The sequence below is a fragment of the Homo sapiens genome, chromosome 12 (genome assembly GCF_000001405.40).
Source record: "Homo sapiens chromosome 12, GRCh38.p14 Primary Assembly".
Taxonomy (NCBI): Eukaryota; Metazoa; Chordata; class Mammalia; order Primates; family Hominidae; genus Homo; species Homo sapiens.
The window spans coordinates 69,699,931-69,711,812 of NC_000012.12; positions in this window are offsets into that span (position 1 = coordinate 69,699,931).

Sequence of the window (11,882 nt, forward strand, 5' to 3'; positions counted from 1 at the left end):
GGAGGCGGAGGTTGCAGTGAGCTGAGATCACACCACTGCACTCCAGCCTGGGCGACAGAGCGAGACTCTGCCTCAAAAAACAGATGAAAAAATTCTTATGAAGCCATAAACTGGGGCAGACAAGAATATAAACAGGATTTTTGCCACTTGAGAGGTGTTGAAAATGTTCTTCAATTAAAAGCAACGATTATGTGTTAGTGTGTGTGTGGTGTGTGTTTGTGTGTTAGAAGAACACATAGAGAATCATGATATATTGATGGCTTAGTGTAGTGGGAAATAATAACACATGGATTCATCACATTTTTTTTCTTTTAAGATGGAGTCTCGCTCTGTCGCCCAGGCTGGAGTGCAGTGGCACGATCTTGGCTCACTGCAACCTCACCTCCCGGGTTCAAGCGATTTTCCTCCCTCAGCCTCCCAAGTAGCTGGGATTACAGGTGCACACCATCACACCGGCTAATTTTTTATATTTTTGGTAGAGATGAGGCTTCACCATGTTGGCCAGGCTGATCTCGAGCTCCTTACCTCAAGTGATCTGCCTGCCTCGGCCTTCCAAAATGCTGGGATTACAGGCGTGAGGCAACGCACCCGGCCAGATTCATCACATTTGTTATCCTTCCATGGTCAGCTAGGAAATTTTTTCTTTTTTTTTTTGAGATGGAGCTTTGCTCTTCTTGCCCAGGCTGGAGTGCAATGGTGCCGATCACGGTGCACTGCAACCTCCGCCTCCCGGGTTCAAGCGATTCTCCTGCCTCAGCCTCCTGAGTAGCTGGGATTACAGGCATGCGCCACCATGCCCAGCTAATTTTGTATTTTTAGTAGAGACAGGGTTTCTCCATGTTGGTCAGTCTGGTCTTGAACCCCCGACCTCAGGTGATATGCCTGCCTCGGCCTCTCAAAGTGCTGGGATTACAGGTGTGAGCCCACCACACCCGGCGCATAGTTTCTTTCTTTTCTTTTCCTTCCTTCCTTCCTTCCTTCCTTCCTTCCTTCCTTCCTTCCTTCCTTCCTTCCTTCCTTCGTTCCTTCCTTCGTTCCTTCCTTCCTTCCTTCCTTCCCTCCCTCCCTCCCTCCCTCTCTCTCTCTCTCTTCTTTCTTTCTTTCTTTTTTTGAGACACAGTCTCACTCTGTCGCTTAGGCTGGAGTGCAATGGCACAATCTTGGCTCACTGCAACCTCTGCCTCCTGGGTTCATGCAATTCTCCTGCCTTAGCCTCCCGAGTAGCTGGGACTACAGGCGTGTCCCACCACACCTGGCTAATTTTTGTATTTTTGGTAGAGAGGGAGTTTCACCATATTGGTCAGGCTGGTCTTGAACTCCTGACCTGGTGATTCGCCCTCCTCAGCCTCCCAAAGTGCTGGAATTATAGGCGTGAGCCATCGCGCCCAGCCCCATATTTTCTTTCTTAAAAGAGAGAATTCACCAGCGTTCTTTAAGTAATAAAATAAATAATTTCAGGGCCAATTCCTGGGACTTTTCCAACCTTCTAAAGTAACTTGTGCACCCTTGCACCTTAACTTAAAGAAAATGTATTTTTGTGGAGAAAGATATAGAAAAAAATGCTTATTCTAAAATTAAGATTACATATAATTAAATTTTTCTAAAACAGTAAGTTTTATATGCATTTCGCTGGATTCTTTATCAAATTCTAGGTACCTTAGATTAGAGCAAAGCCAGGGCTGTAGGTATCTTTTTAATTTCTTGCCCCCATCCCTGTTCATAATTCCAGTATGGAGCCCTGTGAATAATGAATATTTAGTATGTATTTGCTGTTTGATTATTCCTTACCTTCACTATTATAATTCTGTTGGTTATTTGAGGGAATTTGTGAACATTTAAAAAGCATATATACAATGTTGCACATCTTATGTTGTGTTGCCATGAAAAGTGGTCTGATAGATCTGATGTTATGTTTATAAAGGTTTGCAAGACGAATCTCAGCAAATCTAAACCCAAATGCTTATGAAATAGGAACATCGGAGGTATTTTGTAAAATTCTCACTCTTGCATCTCCTATTGGTTGTGTGGTGGCCCTGACAGCTGGCATATTCCCAGCAGCCATGACTGCATAGCTAGGGGATCTGCCTCTGTGGGGCACTGAACGCACTGTTGGTTGGTTTCATTTCTAAACAGGGATAATTATGTTCCTCTCTCCCATTGGGTTGTTTTGAGGAATGACTAATTAATGGTTGGAGACAGCATTCTAAATGCAAATTAGTCAATAATGATCAGATTGAATGAACAAACTCCCATTGTTGAGCTCTGAATCTGGTGGTGATTTCTAACAGGTACTGAAAGAGGCCTTGTCGAAATAGCCCTGCTTAGAGGAGACAAGCCACTAAAGCTTATTTTAAAATATCCAACAAACACCGGATTGCAAAGTTGAAGGCTCATATCACTTTTTAAATCGAACTTTAAAGTTTCTTTAGAAATTTTTTTCCAGATTCTAAAAGTAAAATATGATTATTAAAAAATAAAAAGGAAAACAACATATAAAGAAGACAGTGGCACTCTGTCCTGCCACACTAGAGGGGTGGTATCATTTGGCATAAAGTTAATCTTGCTAGACTTTTGTGGAAAATATTTTAACCCTATAATTAATAGCAAACGATATGATAGACCCTTAGGCAATTTCAGGGCTCTATGAAATAACTATACCAGCCATATTTTCCCTTGACAGTAAACATCAAGTTATGTGATTTTGACCACTCTGATTTTCAACAGTCCAGAGTAGCACATTTGTCTTTGATTCCAGTAAACCTCCAATGACAGGGCAATTCATAGAAAAGAACAAGGAATCATTTCCACTTGGAATCCTGATATTCACCTATAGATGTCAAAATAAATCTCTTTGTTCCTTAAGGAAACAGGAAATAGTAACAACAACAAGTTTACGTAGCCAATACCACCTTCTACTTGAGAAGCAGCTATTTAGAAAGCCCCACATTCATTTTAAACTGATTTGACATGTCTCCACTGACATGAGAAGTCTCTTGTCAAATTTCTTCTGAGTGATTAGTTGAACATAAATTGTGTGTAGATAACACATGTATTCAAATATTAACCAAAGACCAGACGTTGTATTTTGGAGGATTTGATTCTGAACCTAAGACTTTGGGACATTACTAAGTGGGCAATCAATCAATGTTTTTGATGGGGAAAGGGTTCGAAAAAATCCGAGCTGCAGAAATGTGAGTCTCTGGGAAGAGTGTGTGATGAATTGGAGTGGGTAGGGACTATAGAAGGGGAATCAATTTGAAGGTTATTTTGGTTGTTCTGGGATAAACTGGGATGGTGGGTGGGTGGGTGGGTGGAATGCAGAGGAAGGATGGTGGGAGAGAGCCCAGGGGATAGCTACCACTGCAGGGAGGGGAAGAAGAGCAGGGGTAGGCGAGAGGAGGAGGAGAAGGAGGAGGAGGAAAAGGAGGAGGCAAGAGGAGGAGGAGGAGGAAAGAGAAGTATCATATGACACTTCCTTTGTCCTTTGAGTCTGTTTGCTCATGAAGAACAAAGATTATGGAACATGATTCTCAAATTTGTTCAGGTATGCTGTTCTTGATGACATGCCATGAACTTTTGATGTGTTTTATTTTATCCTGCAAATAAAAACATTCTACCAGCAAAAATGGATGCAAACTCAAGTTTCAAGTGGGAGCCCATGTGCCCATAAAAAAATAAAGTTGCTGAATTAAGTATGATTAGTCTGGCCCAGGCACAGTGGCTCACGCCTGTAATCCCAGCACTTGGGGAGGCTGAGGCAGGCAGATCACAAGGTCAGGTGATCGATACCAGCCTGGTCAATGTGGTGAAACCCCGTCTCTACTAAAAATACAAAAAAATTAGCCAGGCATGGTGGCACATGCCTGTAGTCCCAGCTACTGAGGAGGCTGAGGCAGGAGAATCGCTTGAATCCAGGAGGCGGAGGGTGCAGTGAGCTGAGATCGTGCCACTGCACTCCAGCCTGGGTGACACATCAAGACTCCGTCAAAAAAAAAAAAAAAAAAAAAAAAAAAAAAAAAGAATGATTAGCCTGTGGTTAGTGGTCAGTTTTCCTGTTAATACTTCTTTCTGGAACTTATGTTGCTATGTGCTGGATTTCTCTAGAAAAAAGATAGCAAACAGTGCTAAAAGTTCAAGAAAAATTCAGAGTAAAACGTAGAGAACAGTCCTCATTTTTTTTTTCCACAGCAGAATACACTGGTTTGGTTAGTTTCAGAACCAATTATAGTGATCATGTTTTCCTACAGGTAAATTTTTACTTGCCCAGTTGGATGGTGATCTTCTTGAGAACTCATGTCCTACTCTTTCTTGTTTTTTTTCTTTTTTTCCTATTTACTGCTTGCAACAATGGATCCAACAGCTGCATAACAAACACTGTTTGGGGTAAATCATGTGGCACTCCAGGTGTGCAGAGGTTTCTGTGTATGTCATTGGACATAGAACTGTGCCAAAAATCAAACCAAAGAGGATGGAAAACCTCTTCAATTAATTTATTATCTTTGATTTCAGGGGAGATATAGTGAACTCCTCAGACTAGAAAGACTATTGCGTTTTATTACAGCTGAAGCTCTAAGCTCATAAGAGACTGGATATTTGAGGAGTCATCATTACTTTCCTAGCATAGAGTAATTGCTAACTCAACAAAACAGAAATGCACTAGTTCAAATTTTGAAGGTTATCTTTTTCTAATGGAAGGTATGGAAACTTTGTTCTATTTTAGAGATGAAAGCTTAGAGTCTAGAGTATTATGATTATGGTGCTGAATGTGTATCCTGTACTCTATAATTGATGACTTTTTAAAAATGAATGGTATTATTCATCTCAAATACATTCCAGATTGCTAAAGAAAAAAAATTTCACATAGAATCAATTAAAAATCAGCTTAATTTTACAAGAAAAGGCACATGAATTCAAGAATATTGTTTATTCCAAACAGCTGTGAAATTCTGTTACTTTACCACTGTGATTGTAGAAGGTAGTGGAAATTATGTTACTGTATGGGTAAAGGCAACATATAGGTAAATAGAAAAATGCTATGCATAAATATGTGGGCAATTCTAAAATACCTTTTCTCGTGTAGTAAAATGCACGTGGAAATGAAAAACCCATGTTGGTTCTGGTTTTCTTTTTTTCCTTTTTTTTTTTGAGACAGAGTCTCCCTCTGTTGCCCGGCCTGGAGTGCAGTGGTGCAATCTCGGCTCACTGCAAGCTCCGCCTCCCAGGTTCACGCCATTCTCTTGCCTCAGCCTCCCAAGCAGCTGGGACCACAGGCGCCCGCCACCACGCCCGGCTAATTTTTTGTATGTTTAGTAGAGACGGGGTTTCACTGTGTTAGCCAGGATGGTCTCGATCTCCTGACCTCGTGATCCGCCTGCCTCGGCCTCCCAGAGTGCTGGGATTACAGGCGTGAGCCACCACGCCCGGCTGGTTCTGGTTTTCTAATATGGTATATTGAGCATTCTTCAGACATCTTTTCAGTCCTTTAACATATAACAGCTCCTTAATAGTGGTTACTGCTGGGGAGAGTAGTAGGTTTGGAGTAAGGGGGGAAGAAAAAAACTTCAGTTTTTGCTCCATATAATTTTATATTTTAAAAAGTAACATCTATATTTTAATATGTAATCATATTAAATAAATGAAATAAAAATCAGACTTGATGCCACTTCCAAATTCATACCTCCAGCTCAGATCTTTCACCCAACTCCAGACTTACCTTAATATTTCCATAAACATCTCAAACCCAACATGCCCAAAATGGAACTCCTGGCCTTTTCCCACAAATGTGCTCCATCTGTAACCTTTCCCATCTCTGTTGAACATTCCTTCCTTCCAAAAGGTCTAGAACCTTGAAGTCATCTTCAGCTCCTCTCTTTCTCTCACACTGCAATCCAATCTTTCAGCAAATTGTATTGGTTCCACCTTGAACATATACTCAGAATCTGTCATCTCACTATCGCAGAGATAGGGAGCTATCTCCACTGCCCCTGCCTCTTCAGAACCCGCATCGTGGTTTTCCGGGGTCACTCCAGCAGCTTCCCACAGGTCTCCCGGTGTCTGCACTTGCTCCCTGCAGTCTGTTGTAACACAAAGGCAGAAAAATCTTATTAAAAGACAAGCCAAGTCAAGCCATGTCTCTCCTCTTGTCACAGAGGAGTGACAAGCCATGTCACTCCTCTGCTCAAAACCCCTCATTCACTCCCTGCTCTTCTCAGAATAAAAGCCTACGTCCTTCAATGGCAGCTAAGGTCTTCCATGACCTGCTCTCATTTCCTCCTTGGTCTCATTTCCTATTACTTTCACCTGTGGACTCATCTCTAGCTGCATTTGTCTCCTTTGTTTCCTCAAACACATAGGCATGTCCCCAGCCTCAGTAGCCTCTACCTGCCTGGAATGTTCTTCCTCCAGGTATCTGAGGCACTGTCTCCTTCACCTCTTTCAAGCTTTTGCTCAGGTATCTTCTCAATGAGCTGATGACTCTACCTAAAACTTCGTAGTGCCCTGCACACCTCCCTCCTCACAGCACTCTTGATGCCCTTACCCGGCTTCACTTGTGCTCTTTCTCCACACCATTCTCCTTTGTATATACCTTGTAATTGACACATTTGTTGTGTTTATTGTCTTTTTCTCCCTACTAGAATGGGAGTTCCACAAGGGCAGGGAGCTGTCTGTTGTTCACTGATGAAAGCAAAGTGCCTTGAATAGTGGCTACTTCAAGAAATATTTATTGAATGAAAATTTAAAAACAGCCTAGAAGTGTTTCCACTATTTCTCATATGAGAATGCCAATGTCATGAGGACCAGTTCCATGAGTATTTTGTTAATTACTTTATATCCAATGCCCAGCAAAGTATCTGCCATTAGTAGGCACTTAATAAATGTTTGTGAAATGAATAAATGAGGATGTATTTTTTATCCAGATGTTTAGCCCATCTTTTTAGTATAAATGGTGGGTTTATTTATTTATTTATTTTTTTGAGATGGAGTTTCTCTCTTGTCGCCCAGGCTGGAGTACAACGACACGAATTCTGCTCACTGCAACCTCCGCCTCCCAGGTTCAAGCGCTTCTCCTACCTCAGCCTCCCAAGTAGCTGGCATTATAGTCACCCACAACCACACCTGGCTAATTTTTGTATTTTTAGTGGAGATGGGGGTTTCACCATGTTGGCCCGGCTGGTGTCAAACTCCTGACCTCAGATGATCTGCCCGCTTTGGCCTCCCAAAGTACTAGGATTACAAGTGTGAGCCACCACACCCGGCAATACAAGTGATATTTATTGAATAATTTTTTTTAATCTCAGCATTTTTCCTCTGGCGGTGTGGGTTTTACAGCATTCTGGAAAGCTAAAGACAGGCGTTATTCAGGGACCTCTGAGTATCAACTTTGCATTCTGTCTGCACCGTGGAATGCTTCATCTGCATTCTGTGTGGTTACCTCTCTTCTGAGTTTCTGTATCCTTAGCTACTTAAATCAGAAACTTAGAGTGGGGATGTGAGTGGCCTCTTGTAGCCAATCCATCTGAAACACGGCCTCTCATCTCTTTTCTTTTCTTTCTTCTTTTTTTTTGCTGACCTCAAGGAGATTTAGACTAGACTACTGCACGTTAAATAGCAATATAATATTTGAATGGATAGAGGCAGAAATAAATTGATTCCTTCTACCTCCTGTTGACTACTCCATAATATCATTACGTTATAGGCATTGGACTGGGCACTCACATGGTGAGTGATAAATGCATTGAACACTCCTTAAGATAGCAGTAAGCAATAATAATGAAAGGATGGACACAGTAAATGTTCTTTGATGATGGTCTAGGTGGTGGCAATATCATTCTTGCGGCTTATAAGATGCCTCAGGGTTCTTGACCTTGAATGCCCTTCTAGGATAGGAGGGTTTTGGTGATGATTAAATTATAAAGGTCCTTTAGTGGAATTTGACTGACTACATTCCAACAGCAGAGTAATAGTATATAAGAGCTACGGATGTTCAGATCCACTGTTAAGGTGGTATCTCAGAGCACATTCTGATATGTTTTAATATTTCTGTGAGAGAAAAATGGAAGTAAATTGAGAATCGAGTATACTTCCTCTTCCCATACCTAGTAGTTTGGAGATGACTTGTGTTCTTGCTCATCCTGTTTTTTCTCACAGGTACATAATTAGATTAAATTAGAAACATAACAATGAGTTGTGTAAAGGATACTCATAGGACTCAGCTTCTACTAGAGCTCATGGCATTCTATCAGACCATCTAATCCTGCCTTTAGGAACATAAGATCTGTTTGCGTGCTGACAGGGCTACTTTCCTTAGCATAGCATCATCTTGTTATAAGAAGACGAAAGTAAAAGGTAAGTTGTATACACGTTTCCATTTCCTCAAAGTGAAAAACCAGGTGGTTGTATTTCTTGGGCTTCCCTTCTCCAAGCCCTTGTAGAAAGAGTTTGTTTTTACATTTGTTGTTAGAGTAAGACAGCCAGGATTGTTCCTTGCTAACTTCATTAATAACTAACAAAATTACATATGAATTTACCTTTTGACCCAGCAATTCAGTTTCCAGGAATCCACCTAACGCACACTTCCAATAATAAAAAAATGCATTTGCACCAACTTATTAACTGCAGCATTGTTTGTAACTGAAAAATGCTGGAAAAAATCTAAATGCCCCTACACAGGAGAGTGGTTGAATAAACTATAGCACATCCATAAAGTGTAGTACTGTGCAGCTGCAAAAGGGAACAAGAAAGATGTTTACGAATTGATATGGAGTGATTTCCAGGGTATACTGATGGGTGGAAAAAGTATAAAATAAAACCTATGTCAATAAACATGTGAAAAGATGCTCAACATTATTAATCATTAGGTAAATGCAAATCAAAATGACAATGCGATACCACATCCACCCACTAGGATGGCTATAAACAAACAAACGAAACAGAAAATAACAAGTCTTAGTGAGAATGTGGAGAAACTGGAATCCTGTACATTGCTGGTAAAATTGTAAAATGGTACAGTTACTGTGGAAAATGGTTTGGTGGCTCCTCAGAAAGTTAAATAGAATTATCCTATGACCCCAGCAATTCTACTCCTAGGTATATACCCCAAAATATTGAAGACAGATATTCAAAGATGCATATATAATGTTCATAACAGCACTATTCACAATAGCCAGAAGGTGGAAACAGCCCAAATGTCCATCAGCTGATAGAAAGATAAACAAAATGTAGTATATCCATTCAGTGGAATATTATTCAGCCATAAAAAGGAATGAAGTACTTACACATGCTATAATGTGAATGAACCTTGGAAACATTATGTTAAATGAAAGAAACCAAATATAAAAAGGTCACATATTATTATGATTCCATCTATATGAAATTACCCAGATAGGTGAATCCATAGAGACAGAAAACAGACTAGTCATCGCCAGGGCTATAGGTAGGGAGAAATGAGGAGTAACTACTTGATGAATATGGGGGATTCTTTTGAGACATTTTTGAGAAAATTTTGTGGAACTAGAGAGACATGGTGGTTGGAGAACATTGTGAATGTGCTAAATGCTACCAAATTATGCACTTTATTATTTTATTTATTTATTTTTTTGAGACGGAGTCTCCCTCTGTTACCCAGGCTGGAGTGCAGTAGTGCAATCTCGGTTCACTGCAACCTCCGCCTCCTGGTTTTAAGCGATTCTTGTGTCTCAGCCTTCCAAGTAGCTGGAACTACAGGTGCGTGCCACTATGGCTGGCTAATTTTTTGTATTTTTAGTAAAGACAGGGTTTCACCATGTTGTCCAAGCTGGTCTCGAACTCCTGGCCTCAAGTGATTTGCCTGCCTTGGCTTCCCAAAGTGCTGGGATTATAGACATGAGCCACCATGCCCAGCCTGAATTGTACACTTCAAAATGGTTAATTTTATCTTATGCAAACTGAACCTCAAAAGAGAGAGAGAATATCGATAGTGTACTACCTTTCATGGAAGAATAAAAGGGGAGATAAAATATGCATGTATCTGCTCACTTATGGAAAATAACTGTTTACAAAAATAGGTGCAGTGAGATTTGGTTATTCAGAGTTTGAGAATGAGATGGAAAGAAGAAGTGGAATGGGGTAGTGGTTGTGGGGTGACATGGACTAGATAAACTTCTTGTATATCTCTGACTCTTAGAACCAGGGAATGAACCACAAAGTGCCCCCTACCCTGTCCAAATAATTAAAATCTACAGGATATGGGAGGAGCCCAATTAGAATGCAAAGGGTAACAAGTGGATCTAACTGTACTACAAATGAATATCATAACCATACTTAAAGAGTTGGGGAAGAACCAACTAAGTTTGGAAAACAGTATTTTGACCGTACAATATAAAGCTAAAGACATAAAGAACTGTACAAAAATATATACTCTAGTTGGTAAATTTGTTTCCACAGACAGAGGCATGGGTTAGCAACTCTGAGACTACTTTATGTATGTATTAGGATTGAGCAAATAAGTAAAGTGTTCTTTAGAGAAATAATCAATTCCAGGAAATATATAAGATGAGCCTGAACGTTTTGTGGTGCCAGAAACTAAGGAAGTACTAAAAAATGATGGAGTATGTGAAAATGACACAGGAGCCATATCGAAGGAGGTCCCAGTGAAATTTGGGACAAGGTATGCTAAAGAATGGATAATCATAGTAATGGATTATAACCCATAAAACACAATAAATGTTCCTGAGTCCATACTGATATAAACAAGTAAATGAATAAGTAAATAAATTAATGAAGCGAAGGGCCAGCTCTTCTTTAATAAATATAGAAGGAATAGAACATCCTGGCTAACACGGTGAAACCCCGTCTCTACTAAAAAAAATACAAAAAATTAGCTGGGCGTGGTGGCGGGCGCCTGTAGTCCCAGCTACTCGGGAGGCTGAGGCAGGAGAAAGGCGTGAACCAGGAGGCGGAGCTTGCAGTGAGCTGAGATCACCCACTGCACTCCAGCCTGGGCAACAGAGCGAGACTCTGTCTCAAAAAAAAAAATAAAATAAAATAAAAATAAAAATAAATAAATAAATATAGAAGGCAGGATGGAAATGGAAAGTCACCATTAGCAAAGACAGGAATCAATATACACTAATAGTACTGAGAGAAGTTGTGTTAAGAAACAGGGCATTTGCATGATCTCAAAGTATCTCCCCATAAGATACTTTTAGTTACAAAGGGAAAAGCAGTAGCCTTATAGAGATGAAACCTGTCAACTACCACAGAATCAAGTGACCAAAGTTAACTTCACCAGTAATGCCATATTGACGTCAGGGATTCTTAACATGATGCACCGAGAAGGGCACAACATCACTTCTGTGATAGTCTTGCCCAAAATGCATAACCTCAATCTCATCATAAGGAAACATCAGACAAGTGTACATTGAGAGACTTTCTACAAAATAATTGATTAGTACTCTTCAAAAGTGTCAAGGTAGTGAAAGACAGATTGAGAAACTGTCACAGATTGGAGAAGACTAAGGAGACATGACAGTTGGACCTTAGACCAGTTAGGACATTAGGGGACAACTGTAACATTTGGATGAGGTCTGCAGATTAGTTAATAGAATTATCTCAATACTAACTTCCTGGTTTTGATCATTGTATGGTGGTTAGGGAGGATGTTAATATTAGAGGAAGCTGGACAACAGGTATATGGGATCTCTGTATTGCTCTGCAACTTCTAAAATTTTTCAAAATAAAAAATTAAAAACATAAAAAAGCCTTTTTCACTTAAACTTTTTTTGTTTATTTTACTTATTTTGATTTTTAACTGGGCCCAGATTTTAAAAATATGTTTAGAGTGACATCATTTACTTTTCCTTTCAGAACACTTTAATGGGATTAAGGAAGGAAATGGAGAACAT